Here is a 25,515-nt window from a genome sequence, read left to right on the forward strand (position 1 = left end):
ATGATCCATCTTCAGGTTTCTTAGCTGTGGATACCAGTGCCTGCTCCAGTGGAGGTGGCAGGGGGGTGAAGTGGACTCTGTGAGGGTCCTTGGTTGTGTTTTTGTTTAGTGCACTGGTTTTGTTTTGGTTGGCCTTCAGCCATGAAATGGAACTTTCAAGAGTGCATAAGCTGTGGTCCTATAGGGAGGAAGCAAACTTGCCTTAGAGACACCTGGTTATCTATTCAGATTTTTCAGGTGGTGGGCAGGGCCATAGTGCTCCCAAGTGATTATGACCTTTGTCTTTGGCTACCAGGGTGGGTAGAGAAAGACCACAAGGTGGGGTCAGGGTAGGCATGTTTAAGCTCAGCCTTTCCTTGGGTGGGGCTTGCTGCAGCTGTTGTGGGGGATGAGGGTGTAGTTCCCAGTCCAGTGGAGCTATATTCCCAGAGGTATTATGGCTGTCTCTGGTAAGTCATACAGGTCACCAGGGAAGTGGGGGAAAGCTGGTAGTCAGAGGGCTCATCCTGTTTCCACACAGCCTGTAGTCCTAAAGGCCAGTCTCACTCCTACTGTGCCCTCCCCAACTGCAGTGAGTCTATTTCCAGGCAGCCAGTGACCAGGGCTGAGAACTTGCTCCAGACCACGAGCCTCCTCATTGAGAAAGGAAGCAGAATCACAGTTTTTGGCTTCTCAGGGAGCCTGCAGCAGTAATCCAGTTACTTCAAAGGTCTGTAGATTCTCTTAGCTTTCCCGGTATGTTCATGCAGTGGTTCTTGGAGTAAAAGTTCACGATGTGAGTCTTCACACACTGTTCTGTCCAAGTGGGAGCTGCAAGCTAGTTCTGCCTGCTATCTGTCATCTTCAAACTATGTCTTCCTCTTGCCTGATTGCTTTGGCCAGGACTTCCAATACTATGTTGAATAGGAGTGGTGACAGAGGGCATCCTTGTCTTGTGCTGGTTTTCAAGGGGAATGCTTCCATCTTTTCCTCATTCATTATGATGTTAATATGGGTTTGTCATAGATGGCTCTTATTATTTTGAGGTGTGTTCCTCAATACATAGTTTATTTAGAGTTTTTAACATGAAGTGATGTCCAATTTTATCAAAATCCTTTTCTGCATCTATTGAGATAATCAAGTGACTTTTATACTTAGTTCTCCTTATGTGATGATCCGCATTTATTGATTTGTGTATGTTGAACCAACCTTGCACCCTAGGGATGAAGCCTACTTGAGCATCATGGATTAGGTTTTCGATGTGCTGCTGAATTTGGTTTGCAAGTATTTTGTTGAGGATTTTTGCATCAATGTTCATCAAGAATATTGGTCTGAAGTTTTCTTTTTTTGTTGTGTCTCTGCCAGGTTTTGGCATCAGGATGATGCTGGTCTCATAGAATGAGCTAGAGCAGAGTCCCTCCTCCTCAATTATTTGGAATAGTTTCAGTAGGAATGCTACCAGTTCTTCTTTGTACATCTGGTAGAATATGGCTATGAATTAATCTGGTTCTGGGCTTTCTTGCGTTGGTAGGCTATTTATTACTGATTTAATTTTGAAGCTTATTATTGGTCTGTTTAGGGATTTGACTTCTTCTTCGTTCAGTCTAGGGAGGGTGTATGTGTTCAGAAATTTATTCTGCTCTTCCATATTTTCTAGTTTTTGTACATAGAGGTGTTCATCCTACTTTCTGATGGTTATTTTTATTTCTGTGGGGTCAGTGGTAGCATCCTCTTTGTTATTTCTAATTGTGTCTATTTGGATCTTCTCCCTTTTCTTCTCTATTAGTGTAGCTAATGCCCTATCTATATTATTAATTTTTTCAGAAAGCAAACATTGAATAGTTTTCCACTAAAAAAAAATTAACTGAGTCCTAGGATCCTATGGGACAATATCAAATAATCTGATATACATGTAATTGAAGTCTCCAAAAGAGAAGAGAGTAATACTGAAGCAGAATATATATATATATATATATATACACACACACACACGTGTAGTTTTTTTCTTAAGAAGTAATGGCTAAATGTTTCACAAAAATGTGATAAAAATATAACAATGAGTTATAGTTCAAGAAACTCAGTAAATATAAATACAACCACACTCAGTAACTATATAGTCAAAGTGCAGAAAACAAAAGATTAAAAATTTTTAAAGTAGAAAAATGAAAACACATGAAATTTAAGAGAATAAATGTAAAAATATTACTGACTTTTTTTTAGTATACTTTAAGTTCTGGGATAAATATGCAGAACTTGCAGGTTTGTTACGTAGGTATTGCTGGTTTGCTGCACCCATCAACCCGTCATCTACATTCGGTATTTCTCCTAATGCTATCCCTCCCCTAGCCACCCACTTCCAGTTCCAGTGTGTGATGTTTCCCTCCTGTGTTTATGTATTCTCATTGTTAAACTCCCACTTATTAATGAGAATGTGCGGCGTTTGGTTTTCTCTTCTTGTGTTAGTTTGCTGAGAATGATGGTTTCCAGCTTCATCCATGTCCCTGCAAAGGACATAAACTCTTCCTTTTTTATGGCTGGATAGTATTCCAGGTGTATATGTGCCACATTTTCTTTATCCAGTCTATCATTGATGGGCATGTGGGTTGGTTCCAAGTTTTTGCTATTGTGAACAGTGCCACAATAAACATATGTGTGCATGTGTCTTTATAGTAGAATGATTTATAATCCTTTGGGTATATGCCCAGTAATGGGATTGCTGGGTCAAATTTTATTTCTGGTTCTAGATAATTGAGGAATCGCCACACTGTCTTCCACAATGGTTGAACTAATTTACAGTCCCACCAACAGTGTAAAAGCATTCCTATTTCTCCACATCCTCTCCAGCATCTGTTGTTTCCTGACTTTTTAATGATCGCCATTCTAACTGGCATGAGATGGTATCTCGTTTTGGTTTTGATTTGCATTTATCTAATGATCAGTGATAGTGAGCTTTTTTTCCTATGTTTGTTGGCTGCATAATGTCTTCTTTTGAGAAGTGTCTGTTCATATCCTTCACCAACTTTTTGATGGGGTTTTTTTTTTCTTGTGAATTTAAGTCCCTCGTAGATTCTGGATATTAGACCTTTGTTAGATGGATAGATTGCAAAAATTTTCTCCCATTCTGTAGGTTGCCTGTTCTTTCTGATGATAGTTTCTTTTGCTGAGCAGAAGATCTTTAGTTTAATTAGATCCCATTTATCAATTTTGGCTTTTGTTGAAATTGCTTTTGGTGTTTTAGTCATGAAGACTTTGTCCATGCTGATGTCTTGAATGATATTGCCTAGGTTTTCTTCTAGGGTTTTTATAGTTTTAGGTTTTATGTTTAAGTCTTTAATCCATCTCGAGTTAATTTTTGTATACAGTGTAAGGGAGGGGTCCAGTTTCAGTTTTCTGCATATGGCTAGCCAGTTTTCCCAGCATCATTTATTAAATAGGGAATCCCTTCCCCCTTGCTTGTTTTTGTCAAGTTTGTCAAAGATCAGGTGGTTGTAGATGTGTGGTGTTATTTCTGAGGTCTCTGTTCTGTTTCCTTGGTCTATCTCTCTGTTTTGGTACCAGTACCATGTTGTTTTGTTTACTGTAGCCTTGTAGTATAGTTTGAAGTAAGGTAGCATGATGTCTCCAGCTTTGTTCTTTTTGCTTATGATTTTATTGGCTATACATGAACTTTTTTGGTTCCATATGAAATTTAATGTAGGTTTTTCTAATTCTGTGAAGAAAGTCAATGGTAGCTTGATGGGAATAGCATTGAATCTATAAATTACTTTGGGCAGTATGGCCATTTTTACTATATTGATTCTTCCTATCTATGAGCATGGAATTTTTTTCCAATTGTTTGTGTCCTCTTTTATTTCGTTAAGCAGTGGTTTGTAGTTCTCCTTGAAGAGGTCCTTCACGTCCCTCGTAAATTGTATTCCTAGGTATTTTATTTTCTTTGTAGGAATTATGAATGGGAGTTTATTTATGATTTGGCTCTCTGCTTGTCTATTATTGGTGTATAGGAATACTTGTGACTTTTGCACATTGATTTTGTGTCCTGGGACTTTGCTGAAGTTGTTTATCAGCTTAAGGAGTTTTTGGGCTGAGACAATGGAATTTTCTAAATATACAATGATGTCATCTGCAAACAGAGACAATTTGACTTCCTCTCTTCCTAATTGAATACACTTTATTTCTTTCTCGTGCCTGATTGCCCTGGCCAGAACTTCCAATACTATGTTGAATAGGAGTGGTGAGAGAGGGCATCTTTGTCTTGTACTAGTTTTCAAAGGGAATGCTTCCAGCTTTTGCCCATTCAGTATGATATTTGCTATGGGTTTGTCATAAATAGCTCATATTATTTTGAGATATGTTCCATCAATGCCTAGTTTATTGAGATGTTTTAGCATGAAGGGGTGTTGAATTTTACCAAAGGCCTTTTCTGCATCTATTGAGATAATCATATGGTTTTTGTCATTGGTTCTGTTTGTGTGATGGATTACATTTATTCATTTGCATATGTTGAACTAGCCCCTCATCCCAGGGATGAAGCCGACTTGATTGTGGTGGATAAGCTTTTTGATGTACTGCTGGATTCAGTTTGTCAGTATTTTATTGAGGATTTTTACATAAATGTTCATCAGGAATAATTGTTCTGAAATTTTTTTTGTTATTGTTGTGTCTCTGCCAGGTTTTGGAATCAGGATGATGCTGGCCTCATAAAATGAGATAAGTATGAGTCCCTGTTTTTCTGTTGTTTGGGATAGTTTCATAAGGAGTGGTAGCAGCTCTGCTTTGTACCTCTGGTAGAATTTGGCTGTGAATCCATCTGGTCCTGGGCTTTTTTTAGTCTGGCTATGTTCTATCTATTTAGTTGATCTTTTCAAAAAACCAGCTCCTGGATTCATTGATTTTTTTGAAGGGTTTTTCATGTCTCTATCCCCTTCAGGTCTACTCTGATCTTAGTTATTTCTTGTCTTCTGCTAGCTTTTGAATTTGTTTGCTCTTGCTTCTCTAGGTCTTTTAATTGTGCTGTTAGGGTGTTGATTTTAGATCTTTCTTGCTTTATCTAGTGGGCATTTAGTGCTATCCATTTCCCTCTAGATACTGCTTTAGCTGTGTACCAGAGATTCTGGTACATTGTCTCTTTGTTCTTATTGGTTTTAAAGAACTTAGTTACTTCTGCCTTAATTTCATTATTTACCCAGTAAATTTTTCTCCAATCATTCAGGAGCAGGTTGTTCACTTTCCATATAGTTGTGTGGTTTTGAGTGAGTTTCTTAACCCTGAGTTCTAATTTGATTGCACTGTGGTCTGAGAGGCTGTTTGTTATTATTTCCATTCTTTTGCATTTGCTGAGGAATGTTTTACTTCCAATTATGTGGTCAATTTTAGAATAAGTGCTATGTGGTGCTGAGCAGAAAGTATATTCTATTGATTTGGGGTGGAGAGTTTTGTAGATATCTATTAGGTCCACTTGGTCCAGAGCTGAGTTCAAGTCCTGAATATCCTTGTTAATTTTCTGTCTCATTGATATGTCTAATATTGACAGTGGGGTGTTAAAATCTCTCACTATTATTGTGTGGGGGTCTAAGTCTCTTTGTAGGTCTCCAAGAATTTGTTTTATGAATCTGGGTGCTCCTGTATTGGGTGCATGTATATTTAGGATAGTTAGCTCTTTTCATTGCATTGATCCCTTTGCCATTATGTAATGTCCTTCTTTGTCTTTTTTTTAATCTTTGTCGGCTTAAAGTCTGTTTTATGAGAGACTAGGATTGCAACCCCTGCTTTTTTTTTGCTTTCCATTTATTTAGTAAATATTCCTCCATCCCTTTATTTTGAGCCTTTATGTTTCTTTGGACGTGAGATGGGTCTCCTGAATACAGCATACTGATGGGTCTTGACTCTTTATCCAATTTGCCAGTCTGTGTCCTTTAATTGGGGCATTTCGTCCATTTTCATTTAAGGTTAATATTGTTATGTGTCAATTTGATCCTGTCATTATGATACTAGCTGGTTATTCTGCACTTTAGTTGATGCATTATTTTCATAGTGTCATTGGTCTTTATATTTTGGTGTATTTTTGCAGTGGCTGGTACCGGTTTTCTCCTTTCCATAGTTAGTGCTTCCTTCAGGAGCTCTTGTAAGGTAGGCCTGGTGGTGACAAAATCCCTCAGCATTTGCTTGTTTGTAAAGGATTTGATTTCTCCTTCACTTATGAAGCTTAGTTTGGCTGGATATAAAATTCTGGGTTGAAAATTCTTTTCTTTAAGAATGTTGAATATTGGTCCCCACTCTCTTCTGGCTTGTAGGGTTTCTGTAGAGAGATCCACTGTTAGTCTGATGGGCTTTCCTTTGTAGGTAACCTGGCTTTTCTCTCTGGCTGTCCTTAACATTTTTTCCTTCATTTCAACTTTGGAAATCTGATGATTATATGTCTTGGGGTAGCTCTTCTCGAGGAGTATCTTTGTGGTGTTCTCTGTATTTCCTGAATTTGAATGTTGGCCTGTCTTGCTAGGTTGGGGAAGTTCTCCTGGATAATATCCTGAAGTGCATTTTCCAGCTTGGGTCTATTCTCCCCAACAGTTTCAGGGACCCTAATCAATCATAGGTTTGTTCTTTTCACATAGTCCCATATTTCTTGGAGGCTTTGTTTTTTCCTTTCCATCTTTTTTCTCCAATCTTGTCTTCATACTTTATTTCATTAAGATGATCTTCAATCTCTGCTATCCTTCCTTTCGATTGATTCATTCAGCTACTGATACTTGTATATGCTTCACAAAGTGATTTTGGTGTGTTTTTCAACTCCATCAGGTCATTTTTATTCTTCTCTAAACTGGTTATTCTAGTTAGCAGTTCTTGTAACCCTTTTTCAAGATTCTTAGCCTCCTTGCATTGGGTTAGAACATGCTCTGTTAGTTCAGAGGAGTTTGCTATTACCCACCTTCTGAAGCCTACTTCTGTCAATCCATCAAATTCATTCGCTGTCCAGTTTTGTGTTCTTGCTGGAGAGGAGTTGTGATCATTTGGGGGAGAAGAGGCATTCTGGTTTTTTGAATTTTTGGCATTTTTGCACTGGTTTTTCCTCATCTTCGTGGATTTATCTAACTTTGATCTTTGAGTCTGATGACCTTTGGATGGGGTTTCCGTGTGAAGGTTGTTTTTGTTGATGTTGATGTTATTGCTTTCTGTTTGTTAGTTTTTCTTCTAACAGGCCCCTTTTCTGTAGGTCTGCTGCAGTTTGTTAGCAGTCCACTCTGGACTCTATCTGCCTGAGTATCACCAGTGGAGGCTGCAGAACAGCAAAGATTGCTGCCTGCTTCTTCCTCTGGAAGCTTCATCCCAGAGGATGAAGCTGGCATCTACCAGATGCCAGTCGGAGCTCTCCTGTATGAGGTGTCAGTCAACCCCTGTTGGGAGGTCTCTGGCAGTCAGGAGGCATGGGGATCAGGGACCCACTTGAGGAGGCAGTCCCTTAGCAGAGCTCAAGCACTGTGTTGGTAGAACCCTGCTTGTCAGGATCCACCGCTGTCTTCAGAGCCAGCAGGCAGGAAAGTTTAAGTCTGCTGAAGCTATGCCCACAGTGAGATGGGAATTTTATCTATAAGCCCCTGGCTGGGGTTGCTTCCTTTCTTTCAGAGATGTCCTGCCCAGTGAGGAGGACTCTAGAGAGGCAGACTGGCCACAGCCGCTTTGTCTCACTGTGTTGAGTTTTGCCCAGTCCAAACTTTCAGGTCATTTTAGCACTGTCAGGGGAAAACTGCCTACTCAAGCCTCAGTAATGGCAGACGCCCCTCCCCCAACCAAGCTCAATCGTCCCAGGTTGACTTCAGACTGCTGCGCTATCAGTGAAAATTTCAAGCCAGTTGTTCTTAGCTTGCTGGGCCTTGTGGGAATGGAACCCACTGAGCGAGACCACTTCGTTCCCTGGCTTCAGCCCCCTTTCCAGGGGAGTGAATGATTCTGTCTCACTGGGGTTCCAGGCACCACTAGGGTATGAAAAAAAAACCTCCTGCAGCTAGCATAGTGTCTGCCTGAACAGCTGCACAGTTTTGTGCTTGAAACCCAGGGGCCTGGTGGTGTAGGCACATGAGGGGATCTCCTGGTCTGCAGATTGCAAAGCCATGAGAAAAGTGTAGTATTTGGGCTGGATAGCACAGTCCCTCATGGCTTCCCTTGGTTGGGAAATGGAGGCCCCCCACTCCTTGCATTTCCCCGGTGAGGTTGTGCCCCACCCTGCTTCTGCTCACCCTCTGTGGCCTGCACTGACTGCCTAACCAGTCCCAAAGAGATGAACAGTCTACCTCAATTGGAAATGCAGAAATCACCCACCTTCTGTGTCGGTCTTGCTGGGAGCTGCAGACCAGAGCTGTTCCTATTTGGCCACCTTGGCAGTAGATCCTACAGTGTTTTACAACCATCATCACTACCTATTTCCAAAAGGTTTTCATCACTCTAAAGAAACTCTGTAATCATTATATGATAACTCTGCCTTCTCCCAGTCCTTGTTATTCTCTACTACTTTGTCTAATCTATGGATTTGCCTAATCTACTACTTAAGAGTGGAATCACATGATATTTTTCCTTTTATGTCTGTCAAATTTTATTTAGCATGCTGTTATCACTATCATTCCTGCTGTAGTGTGTATCAGAACTTCATTCTTTTTACGACTGAATAATATTCCATTGTCTGTATACCACATTTTGTGAACCCATTCATCTGTTGATGGACACTTGGGCTCTTCAACCTGGTAACTACTATGAATAATGTTGCTGTGAACATTGGTTTACAAGGATCTGTTCAAATCCCTGCTTTCAAATCCATTGGGTATATATACATCCAAAAGTGGAATTACTGGGTCCCATGGAAATTGTGATTTTATTTTTCTGAGGAACCACAAATTGTTTTGCAAATTGACCACGCCAATTTACATTCACCAGTAATTCATAAGAGTTTCAATTTCTCCATATTCTGTCCAATATTTCATATTTTCCATTAAAAAATAATTATAGCCTTTCTAAAGGATATGAAGTGGTATCTCACTGTGGTTTTGATTTGCATTTCCCCAATGACTAATGAAGTTGAGCATCTTTCCAGGTGCACTTATGGATCACTTGCATATCTTCTTTGCAGAAGTTTCTATTGAAGTCCTTTGAATTTTTGAATGGGATTGTAGTATTTTGTTGTTGTGTGTTGGAGTCCTTTACATGTTCTCATTTGATTTGTGAATATATTCTGCCATTCTGTGGGCTATCTTTCAATCCTTCTATCCATTTTTTTTTTAGTTTGTATATCATGTATGTAAAACTTCAACATCATTCTTTTACATAGAGATATTCAGGTTCTCCCTCCTTGTGCACCTTCCCTATCTCTTTGATCACTCTGAGGTCTCCACCTCTCCAATTGCAATGAGACTTTCACTTATATGATTCCCTTCCCCTCATCTTTTCAACCAGGTATTAGGGGTAGTAATGGGAGTGAGTGCACACTGTCCTGTGGTCTTTGAGTATGGCCAACATGAGCCCTTGTAAATCCCCTGATGCCAGGTGACTGGCTGGCCATCCTGTCCATGAGGTTCCCAGGTCACTCTCCTTTCCCAGTGTTTCCATCTCCCTCCACTCCTGGCTGATTACCGACTGTCCAGCCCTCCCCTTTCCTGCCTGTTCTCAGAGCAGGGCTGAATTAATCCAATGACCGGGGAACTCAGGGGACTTGGAGGGAGGTCCTAGTTGCAGGCACAAACTAGAAGAGAAGCTCTTTCAGGGTAACAGAATGAGCTTTCAGACCTCAGGCAGAGGAATTCCTCTCTATGGCATCCAAGGTCCTGGGCTAGGAATGGGCAACAGGTGAGAGGAACACCTGGGTTCAGATTTAGGAAGAGAAGCAAGGTCTGCATTGAGAGAGGCTGGGACAATCAGTGACACTATCCCAGGGGTAGTACATGGGGCCTGGGTGCTGGAACAGGGCCCAGGGTCAGCACTACCAGCACCCAGGCAGTCACCAAGTGTGGACAGGGTTGAGGATGCCCCTACCCCATCAGGGTGGCCAGCCAGAGAGGCAGACGACAACCAAGAAGTTGTGCTGTTGGGAAGGAGCTGCTTGGGGTCTGACAGCCTCTTCCACCAGCCAGACCCATTTGCCTACCTGGGCTCCTCCCACCCCTGACTGGACAGCTGCCCACTCCATGAGCTTCCAGAGAAGCCTGCAGGTTCCGTATGTGAGGAAGGTTGACAGGTACCTGGTGACGTTGCTAGGCTGGGGTCTCTTTCTACACCTCACTGGGGCTGTGGATAGCTGAATTTACAAGATCCTCATGACAGACCAGGCCTTTGAGGCTTTCTTGCTCAGCTCAGTGCAGCCTCACTATAGCTGGGATGTGGGATGTTCCCAACCAAACTCCTGAAGCCTTGATCCCCAACACAGTAGTGTTGGGAGGTGGGTCCTAGTGGGAGATATTTAGATCGTGGAGACAGATCCTTTATGAAGAGATTAGTGCCCCCTTCCACCTCACAGGCTTGAGTTTTAGCTGTATCTGGAATGGACAGGTTTCCAAGACATCGGGATCAAAACAGAGTCTTGCTTCCTTGGTCTCTCTCCTGCTTCCTCTGTCACCATGCAATCTCAGCATATGCCACTCCCCTTTTGCTTTCTGCCATGTGTGGAAGCTGCATGAGGCCTTCATCTGATTTAGCTGCCAAAACTTAAACTTTTCAGCCACCAGATCATGAGCAAAATAAACTTCTTTTCTAGATCAATTACCCAGCCTTGGGTATTCAGTTACAGTAACACAAAACACAGCAAGGCAGGCCCTTAGCTCAGCCTTGCTGTGATTCATCTTGAATCTAAATCTTGAATGGAATGGAGGCCTGGAGTCTTTTCCCTACAGGTGTGAGCTTCTCCCTCTGATCTCCTAGATAAATATCGTTTGTCTAAACTCAGCTACCATGGGAGCCTCAGGAGCTGGAGAGGGTGTGGGCACCAGGGGAGACATGGTATGAGGCTGTGTGCAGGGGGATGGATCAAACCAGGCCCTGCTAGGGTTCTGGCACAATTGGGCACACCTCATCTCCATTTTCCCTCTTCAGTAGGGATTTATCTCCCTGCCTTAGTGTCTCCTCTTCTAACCCTATCACCTTCCATGTGAAGCTGGACAAAGCATGCAAGCTTGTGAACCTTATTCTAGAGAAGAGGGAAGATAGAGGGATTGTCTGGCTGACAATCACGTATGTAGGTAGGTAGCATACAGGAGAGATTTAGATGGACACATTGGATGACAATCCGGTAGGGGCTGTGCTAGGATGAACAATGGGTCTCCATGTTGTCCACATCCTAATTCATGAAACCTGTGATTGTGGGACTGCATATGTCACAATGGACTTTTGAGTAAGTAACGGATCTTGAGGTGGTGACATTATCCTTGATTATCTTAATAAGCTTGATGTAACTAACCACAAGGGTCCTTATAAGAGGGAAAGAGATGTGAAGACAGTCACAGAGAGAGAGATTTGAAGATGCCATTGGCTTTAAAGAGGAAGGAGGGGACCGTACCAAGGAATGCAAAAAAGGCAGCTCTGGAGCTGAAAAGCCAAGGGGCAGGGCTCTCCCTGAAACCTTCTGGGGGTGGGGGTCTGGCCCTCTCCAGAACTTGTTTTAATTCAGTGAAACCCATATATCTGACTTTGACCTCCATAACTGTAAGAGAATAAAAGTCGTTATTTAAAATCACTGAGATTGTGATAGTTTATTACAGCAGTAATAGGAAACTAATATAGGAACAGACAAGCAGGCAGGAAGAAGGAGACAGGTGTATGGGCAGACAGTCTGGAGGGCAGGCAGGAGTTTGGGAGGTGGGTGGAGATTCAGGGATGTTGGGGTGTTCAGACCCAACACCAGGTCGTGGGGGTGACAAAGTCCGGCAGAGTCAAAGCAGTGAGAAAAGACAGTTTGAGAGAGAAAGTGGGTCCAGGGCGCCAAAGCTAAGGATGGAGGCTGTGAAGGCCCCGAGCTCTGGAAGTGCAGATTATTTATTGGTGATCAAACAAAGAAACAGGTGGTGAGAATGTGGGGGTCGAAAGGGCATGTTGCATTAAGCACATGATTTACAGCTGTGACGGTTTAGCATCTGCTCTGCTACTTGAGATAATGGAGAGCAGGTTCTTTTAACTCAAGATACAATTGATCCTGGGAGAGCAAGGAGCGAGGAGGCAGCAAGTTCAGACACATTCCAGAGCCACGAGCCCTGGATTCTATCCAAGCCACGAGGGGTTTTATGCCCCGGGCTTAGATTATGGTGCGTCAGGGTAGCCTTCCACCCTTCAGCACAGAGCTTGGTGTTCCAAAGGCCACAAGGGGTTTTAGACCCTGGATCCTGGACATGATCCAAGACTCTTTTACATTATGTCAGACATGCAAGCTCGGCCTCAGCTTCTCCCAACACTCAGCTTTTCTCCCAACAAGAGATACAGGTGGGTAGGAGACAGGTAGACAAGCAGGTAGGGAGCCTGGAGAAAGGTGAGAGAGAGAAGGGCAGGCAGACTGGGGGACAGCAGGCAGGTGGGAAGAAGGGAAGGTGGGCAGACAGAAAACAGGATATGGGCAGACAGGAAGGGGACAGAAGCGGGGGTCAGGAAGACAGGACGGCAGGTGGAGGCCCTCAAAGCTGGTCCTTGTCTTCACAAGGGTTAGGGAGCCTCCTGAGACGCAGGTGGATTCCATTTTTGGATTTCAACACAAGTCGTGCAATGGGGATGGGGATCCTGGTGGGATCAGGCAGCAGCTCAAAGCGGAGCAGGGTCAGGGCCGTGGCCACCTTCAGCTCGTTCATGGCAAATTGTTTCCCGATGCAGTTCCTGGGCCAGGTGGAGATAATGAATTGAGAAGTGTCCTCAGGCCCCATTCTGATCTGAGCAGGTTTTGGCCCCTGACCCCAGCCCTGAGCTGGACATTCAGTGCCCAACCTCATGTGTCCAGCCCCTGCACACATACAGCCCATGGACACTTCTACCCCGTCCTGGCTTCACACTATCCCAATCCTTGGACAGAGCCGTCTTCCTGGGCTAGCTCCTAACTCCTACCCTCTACCTCTGCTCTCAGCAGCCTGAAACCCTCTATCAAGACAAGGCCAGGGCTCTAAGGCACAGAGTCTAATCACATGAATAGATAAAGAGTTAATCAATGGTTTGTTCACTCCTCCACAAACATTTCTTGTTCTCCAGTGTGGAGGTCAGTTCAGGTCCTGTAGGGTGAGGGTGGGCCACACTCTCAGGTGCTTCCCATGTAGTGGGACACACAGGGACCTGAATCCTCATAGGGGCCCCGATGGGTGTATTAAGGGAGTCAGAAGGGCAGTGGGAGGCTTCCTGGAGGAGAACTGGGTGGGTGATCCTCAGTGTTGCCCCACCTGCCTCCCACCCCAGGGTCCGGGCTCCTGTCTAACCTCACTCCTCCATCCACCAGCCCCTGTAGCCTTCTAATTCTACTCCAGAAACATCCTTCCTTGCCCTTCCTCAGTATTCTTGCCTGGACTTTATGGTTTTCTGCTTCCCCTCCCAGCACACTGAAGCCACAGCCCAGCTCAGACCCTCCCACGCTCTTCATCACAGGTGGGACAGCATCCCAATGCCTCAGCTGGCAGATAAGCCCTCCATGGGCTCTTGCCTCACCCACATTTTACCTGTCCAGCCCACGTCCTGGCCCTGTTCATGTGGAGATGGCTCAGAATGTCCTCCCTCCACCTCTGCCTGCCACATCCTCAAGGCTAAAGTCAGATCCCAGCTGCCTCTCACTCCCTGCCAGCTGGGCCTCTCCCTCCCAGGCCCCCAGGTAGCATTCACGATTTATCCATGAACACTCACAGTCCAGTGCCAAGGACAGCACCAGGGACAGGGACACTCAACACGCCACTCAGTGAGTGAATGAGTGAAAGGATGGTTGATGGAACGATGTGTGTCTGGAGCACAGGATATATTTCTGTACAACACATTTTTGTACTTTTTATCTCTGTTTTCTCATCATGCTGCATAGGACTTGACCCAGAGAGGTAGCTTAAGAAATACTTCTATATTTGAATGATGTTAAGTTTTAAAATGAATAAAATATAATGAAATACACTGAGAGTAAATATTAATTCTGAGCTAGAAATGGACCTTAGGAATGCTCTCCAGTTCTCTAGTGGCAGCGACATGATTTGCAGGCAATGTTTAGGAGGACTTTCTCATGCTGGGATAGACAGACCAGTGCTGGAGAAGGAGTTTCAGGAGGAAGCTTTTTCTTAAAGCCTGTTCTGTGTAAGTGGACTCACCGTTTCAAAAAGTCACATAATTATTTCTTTGAACAAACTTTGTTTCTACTAAGAATTTATATCGTTTTTGCCTGTGTGTATGTCACAGGACGATTCCTGATGCCACAATGATCTCCACCGCAACCATTCTGGAGTTTTCCTCTCCAGCTCAAAAGCAATTTCAAGTGTGTTTTATATTTCACATACCAGGAGGCTTCAAATGTTGTGCGTTATATGATAATTATTGGGCTTTTCTCTCCAAGACAGTGTACTGTTCACATTTTTATGTTTTTGGCCAATATTGTGCTAAGTGGATTACAGGACTATGGTATAAAGATCTCAAGGCATGTACAGAATTTGTCAAACGGGAAAATAGATGTAAATATGTGAACACTATATAATGCAGTAAAAATTTCATTGGGCAAGACAGAAGAATGTATGATATGACACACACTGTTGTAAAACTTTCTTCAAAGGGCTACCTTAACCTCTCCCTTATATGACTTGAAAGGTAGGACTTGCAGGTCATCTGTATTATAAACAGATGCAAAGACTTCAATGATTCATCTCTACGACAGACTAGTGAATTAAATAGGGAAGGTAGTGTGCTGCATTGAGGATGTGTGGGGGGAGAGAAATCTACAGTTTACTATTCCTGACAACTGAGAAAAGCAAACAGCTGAAGTTGAATTTACTGGAGAATATCTAATTTTGAGAATTCATATCCTTAAAGTGAGGAAAATACATGAATATACTGAAGTTTGGAACATGCACTGACAGTGAATTCAGGCTGCCCATTTGAAGAAGCAGAGGGAGCAAAGTCTCCATGGGGTGCTCTGAATGCCACCTTCCTTTTGTACACAGAGACGCCCACACCAGGTGCCTGACTTTCCCACAAATACCAACATTTAAGAGCACACCTGAAGATGCCACATATGAACATCAGGCTCACAAAGATCAGAGGGTTGACCAGAGACTTCCCTCATTCCTCTATTCGAATTACCACACAGGACGTCTCACCTTGATCCTCCTGAGAAGGGCAGGAAAGCGTGGCTGTGTTGAGCAGAACCCGGTGCAAAACGGAAAGGGTCAAACACCTGCAGAGAGAGCACCAGAGCCAGGATAGTTAAGGATCCAGCACCTACTTGCCACCCATGGGGGACAGGACTCCCAGAGGTGGAAGCAGGAGAAGGTATTGGTCTTGAGGGATCACCTCATTTCCTCCTCTCAAGGACCACATACCTCTGGGTTGGGCCACACTTTTGGGTTGTGGTGAAGGCCATAAATGGAGAGGAGGACCATGATACCTGTGGTGCAGGTTGGAAACAGAGAGAAGACCAATCATTTGCATGGGGTGGCCTGGTACTTCAGCCAGCAGGCACAAAAGAAGGCCCAAAAAGCCTACTTTCCACAAATTTTCACTTTGACTGGGATGATTCTGCCATTATGCAGGTGGGTTAGGCTTAACAAAGCATGTGAGTTCAGATGATGAATAGACAACCATTTATGCAGGAATGAGAAGCAAGAAAGAATCAGAGCATTACTCTTTAGAGTAAGTCCAGTGACATTTCACATTCATCAAATATCCTCCAAGGGTCATTGGAGAATATACATGAACTCACTCAGTACAACAACGCTCCAAGTAAGACATTCTTTTGCTCTCAGTTTTCAGGGGAGATACCTGAATCTCAGAGAGACCAATTGTCTTGTCTATGTTCACACAACTAGGTTATGGCAGGACTGGGACCAGAACCCAGGGAGTTGCACCTTGGTGTCCCCAGATCTGGTCATCACTTTCTCTCTGCCATCAACCTGAGGGTTCCTCAGAGACTGGACAACAGCTGACCCAGGAAATGAAATTCCTGATAAGCCTCTTTTGCACTGACCCCATGAGGAAAGAAACACATCCCTCTCTGCCCTTGTCTGATTCTCTTTCCAGCCCTGCACATCTCAGGGAATAGAATTTTACAGTTACTGACCCAAGGCCACATTCAGAGATTAACATTTATTTCTTGAACTTTTGGTGGGTTCAAGCTCTCAGCCAGACTTTTCAAATTCTTTATCCCAAGTACAAAGTATGTTTTTGATTTTTTTAGAACAAAAGGGAGACCCAGAGATGTGCAGAATTCTGATGCACACATGGATTTCTCACCCTCCACACGTCCCTGTGGAGAGTTTAGGTGAGAGGGTGGGGGAACTTCATACCTTTGGGCAAGGAGCGCCCATCAGGGAAGGTGACGGGAGTGCTGAGCTCTCTGCCAATGCCTGGCACCGGTGGGTAGAGCCTCAGTGCCTCCTTAATGCACATGGTGGTGTAGGGCATCTGGTCCAGGTGGTTCCTGAAACAATTCCATCCTGAACACCAGCAAGGCCTGGGCAGACCAGGGGCCCCTGTGGAGAAGGCAGGGAACCCCATCTTTTGAGCCCTCACTCACCAGGTGATGGAGGCTCCATCACCCAGGAGGCTGTGGATCTCCTCCCGGCACCTCTCCTGATGCTTGGGGTGTGTGGCCAGAGCATAGAGGATCCAGGAGATCCCACTGGCTGTGGTGTCGTGGCCCTCAAACATGAACGTGTCCACCTCAGCACGGAGGTCCTTGTCTGACAAGATGCTCCCATTCTCCATCTGGGAAGACCGTGGTGAAAATGCAGGGCTTGTCTCTTGCTATGTACTTCTGGGCAAAGACTCAGGCCTCTCCTACACATACTCACTTTGGCCAAGAGGAGGATATCCAGAAAATCCAAATGCCTCTTCCTCTTGATCTTCTCCAGCTCCCCCTCCTTCTGTAGTTGAGCCTTCCTCAGTTGGATCACTTGGTCTGTACCAGAACAATGGTTACCAGGCAGAGCTGAGACCGTCAGCAGCCCCCAGGAGGCCTAGCTGCCCAACTGCCCCAGTGTGGGTGCCTGGTAGATCTCAGCATGAATGTGAGTGTGGGTGCAGGGTCAGGGGTGGAAGCTCTAGTACTGTGTGAGGCAGGGCACCCCTCCCGCCAGTGGCACAGTTCATGGAGGCTCCTCTTGAATGCTGTTTGGACAGGGTCTCATTCAGTTATCTCCATGTGGGGACATTGATAAACCAAGGCACAGAATCTGGCCCCTCACATCTCAGCTCCCAGCCCCTGAGCAAGGGAATTCCCCAGGCTGAGTGTGTTCTGCGTTCTGCAGGGTTACTAGGGGCCTTCTCTGGCTGAGGAGTCAGGGCAAGTTCTTTCGCTGTGCCTGGGAAAGGCTGGGAGACAAGAGGAAAAGACAGAACCTGTGTGCTGATGGGCCAGCTGGCAGGCGCGGTGTGTCCAGCGGCCAGCAGAGGTCAGGCTGTAGATGGTGTCATTCTGGTGAAAGGCATTCCTCACACGGGAAAAAACCAGGTTGTTCAGGTCACTAATGGCCTGTATGTAGGACTGAGAATTCCTGAGGGAGAGTATGAAGAAGGGACTGCAGTAGGGGTGGGCCCATTACCCGGAAGTAGAATGGGGTCTGAGAGGAGGCAGCCTCGGATAATGGGGACAAGCAGCCTTGAGGCAATGTTTCTTCTATCTTACAGCCCTATTATCCTTTGGCCTTTATCAGATGGTATGAACATCCAGGGTCCACCTGTGCTAGGAATTAGGCATCTGTTCCTGAGACTTTGTTTGGTCTGGACTGGAATTAGAGTTTGGTCAGGGACTGACTCTTCCTTTGTGTGGCGGTGAGCCTTCACGCTGCCCCACCTGCCCCTCAGGTATGTGCACTCCACTTGATAAGAACAAGGGCCCTGCAGCTGGAGGGTTGTCACTGACCTGTCCACCTGGATGCTGCCCTGATGGCTGAAGGCACACTTCATGATGGTGTCCAGGGTCATCAAGGAGACGTGCTGAAAGACCTCCAGAGGGGAATCCTGGCCAAGGAGCTCTTCCCATTTGTCCTGTGGTGGGAGGGGGCATGGACCTTCTTAATCTCCAAGAAGTGCTTTGCTAATAAGGCCTGGCTTTTTCATGTACCTGCAGATATCCTGTTTTTTCCTGTAGCATGCAGATATCTTGGTTGGGATTCCTCACTTTACAGAGCAGATGCATTGTAGAAACTGAGACTGTAAAGCCAGTGTTGGTAAACTGACGCCTAATTCTCACACACTTTTAATACAACATTCAACAGATCCTCTCACAATAGCATGGATTAAGTATTGAATTTTGAGATTCAGTTAGGACATATGGTTGTGAAAATTGTATTGCTATTGTTGTTCTGGGATAAATAATGGGGGACTCTTCAGTGTTCTGAGAGCTGAGCTAGTTCTGAGGGACTAGTAGGAAAGTTTCAGTGCCAAAGATAGCTTGAGGGGCCGGAATGGGCACTCTGTTGTAGAGAAAACAGGGACTTCAATTCTTTTCCATTCATCAAAATGTGCTGGGCACAGTTGGGTGAGAAATCAGAGTCCTGACTGGAGATGATGCTATCTATGGAAGGTATTGCTCTGAGAACATAGACCTGGTGTTCATTTCCTTCCCAGGGTGGCTTAAATCCATGCAGAAACCCGGGGCCCCAGGCCAGAGCCTGGGTGGGTGACATCTTGGCCTGTCCATGCTGCCACTGAAGCTGCCATTGCCCAGGCCAGCCAGCATAGGAAGTCCTACTGTCCAGCAAGATTGCATACTCCTCCAGTCCCTTGTGCTGAAGGTTCCAAAGTGGGAGGAGAAGGGCCTTGCATTCACCATGAATCTCTATTCCTATGGTGGGGAACAAAGCGTGGATATGACCTGATGCCTGGGTGTTCTCCTACCTTATACAACTCTGGGGAACCCTCTACTCTCACAGCAATGACCTGAGAGTGTTGTTCCATGTGTCTATGTCTATGTCTGCCTGTGGGACACAGGGTTGAGAGTGGAGTTGGTGAGAGTGTGTGCTGTGAGTGGGTGTGGGGAGAGGAGAGAGACATGGACTCACCAGCATCACTCGTACAGAGTCTGCCATGAGCCCCACATAGGGCTTCAGGATGTCATAGTGGAAGGCTGGGGTCAGCATCCGTCGATGCTGGAACCATGTCTGCCCATTCAACAGGAGCAAGCCGTACCCTAAGAGAGACATGAATGTGTGTTTGTGTGTGTGTGTGTGTGTGTGTGTGTGTCAGGGGCTGCAAGGAGCTAGGGATGACTGGTGACAATTTGGGAGGGAGAAAGGTGGCTTCTCAAGGGGAGAACTATCCAGAAGAAGCCACGTCATGGGCAAATGCAGGAAAAGGAGGTATATTTCAGGCATGTGAATATTCTGATTGAGCTGCTACATGCATGTGATTATGACAGCTGTGAGATAAAAGTTGAAAAGGGTTGTGGGCAGATGTAAAATAAATGTGAGGCCAAGGATGTCTGGAGAGAACTGAGACATGAAATAGAAGAAGCTGAGCCTCAGGAAGGTTTGTACCAGCATTAGGAAGGGGTGAGGGTCTTGTTAGAAGAAGGAAGTGAGGCTTGATTTGGGGATAAGGTCATGATAGTGGTGGCCTCTAATCTGTTGTTCTCTGTGAGCCAAATAAATAACTCAAACCTGACTAGGGAGTGGGCTGCAGTCCTAGTTTGCACACATACCAATCCATGGAGCCAGGAATCTGTAGGAACCATGGGATTTCGGGTCTGAAAGGCAAGAAAGGGCTTTATAGGAAACTAGGAGTTACTAAGAAGGCAGTCTTAGAGGCTGCATCAATTCTTGGTGTCTGTCAGTTGGCAGTTTGACCCATGTCACCTCCCACTTGACTCCCATCCACTTCTATTTCTGTCCTGAAGGTCAGTGTGGGCTCAGGAAGACAGACTCAGTGTTCCAGCAGGAAAACATCCAGAGGGTTAGGAAGGTGAATTGGTGAGAAACATAGGCTAGGTCTTCAATGACAATGAATAACATAGAGCCATGGGTTTTTCTACATTGATGATTTCCTAGTCACCTCCTGACCAAGACAGGCAACAATTAGAGCTTTGAAACCCAGGTCAATGTGGGTATGAAATTTGTTTTACAGATCTGGGACAATTTACATTTCAGAAAACCTCAATTTTCTTAATAGAGAAATAGAAAAAAGAATAGAAAATTCAGCCCCACATATTGTTTTAAACATTCGGAGTTCAGTAACTATTTTTGACTATAGCCTGGGCATGGTGGGCTTGGTGGATGCGTGGGAGAGGTTTCAGATATTGATGTTTGAACAGCCACTCTCTTCTGGAATTTTACAGACCCAGGAGCATGTGTCAAGAGGGAAGACACATTGCAGTTGGGATGGGGGTTCGATCTCACCTGATCTCCCCAGAATCACCTTCATATAGTCAGGGTCATAGAGCTGGACACGAACTTTGCCTCCCCATAGCCAATGAGGACAGGCACTTGGGAATGTCTCCACCCATTTCTGAATCCGTTGTAGCTCCTGGTCCTGTTGGAGCTGTCAACAAGGGTAGACAGATGAACACTTTCATTTACTTCTAGTCTTTGCAGCAGGAGTGAAGGGCAGGACAACTACAGGAGCCATGTAGCGCAGGTTAGGGATTTAGATCTGTTTCTGATGACCTGAGCTGTGATCCAGATTCTTGCTCTCTCCCCAGGACTTGACCTTAGGCCAAGCGCTATGAGCCCTCGCTCAATGCTGCCAGCAGAAATTTAAGTCAGCCATTGTCTTCATGTTGTGTAACATCTCTGGAAGTCATAAATACAACAATTTCCATGGGCAATGTGTATAACTCATATTAGTTGATAAGTAGATTTGTAAAATCATTTAGTATATCTAGAGAATAAAATGAATTAATGTAAACATTTTAAATTACACAATGCCTTTATATAATCATACTTGTTATATTTTCAATATTATCCCAGCATATACGGTAAATATTTGTTAAGATAAAATAGCATTTGGGATGTGTATTGGTAAGCAAAAAAAGATTAACTATAAAATTGTGTGCATAATAGTATTCTACATGTTGAATATGTACAGATTTATGGGATGGAGTCTGAGTATATGCATATGGTGCTGGTGTTGGACAATAATTTTGAGATTTGGGTTTCTTATTCTCATTTTCACTTATCAACGAATTATGAGCTCCCTGCTGCCTGCAGTCATCTTTCTAAACTCTTCGATGTGGATCACAAAGCCCTTGGCTTTCTGGCTTCAACTTCTCTTTTCTTGCCTCCAGCCCTGCTGGCAATTCCACCATCACCCGTTTGTTTCAGCTCCAATGCCGATGCCACCACTGCTGCTGAATCGCACACCAGCTACACCTGCTCACTCTTCTGGGCCCTGGCACTTGCTCTTTTCTCTACCTTGAATGCCCTTCCCCTCTGCCACAGAGCAGCCACCTCTCCTCAGCTTTCAAGACTCAGCTTTGCTTTAATCTCATCTGGAACCCTCAAAGACATTGGGTCCTAGTGATGTTCCATGTAGCCAACTCTTCTTTATTTCAACTGCTTCTAGTAAATCAAAGCAACTGTCTACCACATAGGTATCGAATATCTGCCCATCTCCTTCTGATAATCATATTGTCCAGCTCTGAGGCAGCTTGCCCTACTGTGGGGTAGGCTCCTTCATTCAGCCCATGCTTACTGCACACATACTATGTGCCCAGTGTGGCTCAGGCACTGCGTTAGGATACAGCTGTGGTCCTTATCTGTGTGGAATTTTCAGTCTAGTTGGGGGGTAAGAAAGATTAGAGGCTGTGCAGTAGGGGATAATGGACATGATATGGAATGAAGGACAAGCATCTGGGGAAGCTTTGAAGAGGGACCTAACTCAGAACTGAACATTAGAAAGCTCTTCCTCACTCACTGAGTCATCATTTACTGAGGGACTATTGGGTTACAAACATAAATCAGAGATGGTCTCTCCCAGAAGAATCCCACACTTATGACACTGCAGAACAATAACTGAGTCAAGTTAACACTGCTCTGGCCTCTTGAGAAGGATAGCTCATGGAAAAAAGAGTCAGCCCTTCACTACTGGGAGACCCAGGAGGCCTTCTTGAAGGAGGTAGCTTGGTGCTGGGCCTTGACAGATAGATATGCGTGAGAAGATAATTCCAGGTAGCAAGCATAGTGTGATCAGAGACCTAAAGGTTGAAATGCAGAGGCAGGTAGTGAGGTAGTGAGTAACATATGGTAAAAGAGGAGAATGGGAAAGAAGGCAGAGTGGTATTGGGACCAGTCCATATAGGGTTAGAACTTTGGCAGGTCCCCACATTTGTTCTGCTCTGCTGAGAACTATGTTGCCTCCTTTGCTGAGAAACAATAGGCCTCAGTTCCCTGCAACCCCTATCTCTACTTAAGTGTGTTCAATTCATAGCACCTTGGTGAGTCCCTCTCCATGCAGCCGTTTACCTGCTCTGTTCCTACCCGCCCCCCTCCCCTTGTAGGGATAGCAGTGCACAGGGGATGGGCTGTGTCCCTCCTCAGCCCTCTTGCTGCTCCTTTCTCTTCTTCCTCTGTTCCTCTACACCTGGTGTGTCCAATCTTTTGGCTTTCCTAGGCCACATTGGAAGAAAAATAATTGTCTTGAGCCATGCATAAAATACACTAACACTAATGATAGCTGATGAACTCAAAAAAATTGCAAAATAATCTCATAACGTTTTAAGAAAGTTTACGAATTTGTGTTGGGCCACATTCAAAGCCATCCTGAGCTACATGCAGCCCCATGGGGCGTGGGTTGGACAAGCTTGCTCTACACACCTGAGCTGATCATCAAGCTGTGCCAGGATTTTGCTGATTGCCGGGGCACAGGAAGGGGATGACATGCTCACCGCCAGGGAGCTCACAGTCCGGGTGTGTGGGAGGAGAGCCAGGAGGTCAACACACCCTGTTCAATGTGCAACTCAAACACCAGTCTCCTCACCTGGAGAACATTGTGCAGGCTGCCCCCCTCATGTGTACCCATAATTGTCAGGTTTTCAGATCCTAAATCACCTGTTGTGGAAATTCCGTGAGTCTTGGGGAAACTTACTTAGCCAGTTGGTCCCCTATACCAGCAGATCTCTGCCTCAGATATCCACCCCAGCAGAGTGAGCTCCTTTCCTGCAGTCTGACACCTTCTCAAATTCCTGCCTGTATTCTTCACAGACCATAAACTCCTCATGGCATGGATTCCTCAGATGGGTGTCTGTGCTCCCTGGCAAACACAGGGCCAGGCAGAGTGATGGCATTGAGTGACTGGGCAGAGAGCATCTAGAAGCCTTGTTCTTTGATGAAAGCCAAGGCTTATGGGGTAATCAGTCTGGAGACAATCAGGCATTGCCCTCCACATGCAGGACTGCCAAGACACACTTGATATCTGCAGAAGGAGGGCACGGGTGATAGAGCTGAGGACCAGCAGGATGGGCTTCATGGGAGAAGTGAGCTCCTCATGACTGGGAAAAGCTGAGACCAGAGAGGTAGGCTGGGTGTTCCTTTGAGTCCTCACATTTGTTACAAAACAAGGCTTTGCTCTATGGATTTTGTGACCAGGGTCTCAGAGCCCCATCCCTCTTTGCCCTCCCACTCCCCCATTGAGTTCCTCCCTACCTCCTGGATGTGCCCGAAGAGCCAGTGGGAGGGAGGGCACGGGAACTGCTGGAGGGCTTTGAGCAGCCACTGCCTGTGCAGGTAGAGCTGAACTGCCTTGATCAGCAGCAGAAGCAGAATGAGCAGGGAGGCCGCTTGGAGGATTCCAGAGACATCACCCAGGAGTCTGCTGGGGCTCAGCACAGAGACACTCATGGTGCAGCACCTGCTGGATCTCTGAGTGCCCCTACCTCTCTCTGACCACCCCCGTCCCCCTGTGCTCAAATCCAGGGAGGATTGTCCCGCCCACTTGTGGGGAGAGTGAAGGAGGAGGGCAGAACTTGGACCTCAGAGTTCAGAATCAATTGACTATGGATGATCCACCTAGGGCAACAGTGGGAGAAAAGCTTCATCAGCTGTCTACCACATTCCCCTGTCCATGTACCTCACAAATATTTAATGAGCATTTACTGTGTGCCAGGCAGTATGCTAGGTGTGTGGGCACCGCTGCGAGGAAAACAGACTTGAATGCTGACCTCAAGGAATTTGCATTCTGCTTTACTACATTGCAATAATGTTCATTCAGTAGCACTTTTTTTTTGTTATGTGTTCAAAGAAAATTCTCAACATGATATGTACATTTAAACTTAACATTAACCAAGCCCTGAATCATTACTTTTGTCTTATTGCAAATCTAATTTTATTTACCATAAAAACCACTTCCATCTATATATTGAGTGAAGAGTGGGAATTATGTCTTTCTAGTAACTGGATGATGATATGGACAAACAGATGCTAATATAGCAGCTGTTCAAGTACTTTATTTTATTCCATTGGGGAAACTGGTCTCATAATATGCATAGCATGATTTTTTTTCTCAATTCATATACATGACAATTTAAAAAAATTCTACATCATGTTAGGTATGACTTTTTCCCCTATTGATAGGTCTACCTTTTCTACCAGAGTAAGTCCTAGAGCAATTTTAGTCCTACTTCAGTCTAGTACTATAGTCACAGCAGGAGCCTGTTTACCAATTCTCTTTCACCCTACAATAGTATGTAATTACACAATCAGAACTTTGCACTCTGTTTAGGAGTCCTGACCAAGGACAATCTGTACTAAACAGAAATTAATATTTAAAAAATGATTGCTTTGCCAACCTCAAGTAAAGTAGGTTAAATAGCAACTGTTGCTATGAATTAACCCTCCCTGGCATTTTTACATGCATATCTGTGCATGAGCATTCTTTTTTTCCTCTTTTTATAATTTCAACTTTTATTTTAGATTCAGGTACGTATGCAGGTTTTTTACACTGGTGTATTGTGTGATGCTGAGGGTTTGGATACAAATGATTCTGCCACTCAGGTAGTGAGTATGGTATATATTAGTCAAATTTCCAATGCTTACTCATATCTGTACCTACCCCTTTAGTAGTCCCCAGTGTCTATTGTTCCCATATTTATGTCCATAAGTATCCAAAATGTAGTTCCCACTTATAAGTGAGAACATGCGGTATTTGGTTTTCTGTTGCTGTGTTAATTTGCTTAGGATTATTGCCTCCCAATTCATCCATGTTGCTGCAAAGAACATGATTTCTTTATTTTTTTATAGCTGTCTAGTATTCCACTGTGTATATGTATCACATTTTCTTTATCCAGTCCACCATTGATGGGCACCAAGGTTGATGCCATGTCTTTGCTATTGCGAATAGTGCTGTGATGAATGTATGAGTAGAGGTGTCTTTTTGGTAGAGCAACTTATTTTCTTTTTGATATATAGCTAATATTGGGATTGCTGG

General features: G+C 44.7%; 1 protein-coding gene across 12 annotated transcripts; it reads right to left on the reverse strand.

The window, feature by feature from the left end:
• Positions 11,685-23,973, reverse strand: CYP4A11 (cytochrome P450 family 4 subfamily A member 11). 12 transcript variants are annotated; one of them, NM_001319155.2, is made up of 12 exons: positions 23,736-23,973; positions 20,493-20,634; positions 19,799-19,843; positions 19,161-19,288; positions 18,020-18,144; positions 17,497-17,555; positions 16,950-17,056; positions 16,673-16,863; positions 16,443-16,576; positions 15,480-15,544; positions 15,258-15,334; positions 11,685-12,807 (listed from the first exon to the last, which is right to left on the reverse strand). In NM_001319155.2, exons 1-12 carry the CDS (start codon positions 23,928-23,930, stop codon positions 12,612-12,614), a joined length of 1,464 nt encoding a protein of 487 aa, NP_001306084.1. In that variant the 5' UTR covers positions 23,931-23,973; the 3' UTR covers positions 11,685-12,611. The 12 variants fall into 12 exon arrangements, 5 of the variants coding, with proteins under 5 accessions (NP_001306084.1, NP_000769.2, XP_016855954.1 ...); NM_000778.4 differs by having other exon boundaries at positions 17,497-17,651; XM_017000465.2 differs by lacking the exon at positions 23,736-23,973 and adding an exon at positions 23,179-23,313 and having other exon boundaries at positions 17,497-17,651.

The sequence above is a fragment of the Homo sapiens genome, chromosome 1 (assembly GCF_000001405.40).
Source record: "Homo sapiens chromosome 1, GRCh38.p14 Primary Assembly".
Lineage (NCBI taxonomy): Eukaryota > Metazoa > Chordata > Mammalia > Primates > Hominidae > Homo > Homo sapiens.

Bases quoted from the DNA above. Each gene is read 5' to 3' on its own strand.
- CYP4A11 (NM_000778.4), bottom strand. From the start codon at position 23,930: ATGAGTGTCTCTGTGCTGAGCCCCAGCAGACTCCTGGGTGATGTCTCT. The intron at 17,057-17,496 runs GTTCTGTCTTTT...GTTCTGGTACAG, and splicing joins GCTGGCCCATCAGCACACAG to ACCAAGTGATCCAACTGAGG. The intron at 16,864-16,949 runs GTGAGTATGTGT...CGGTCTTCCCAG, and splicing joins ATATCCTCCTCTTGGCCAAA to ATGGAGAATGGGAGCATCTT.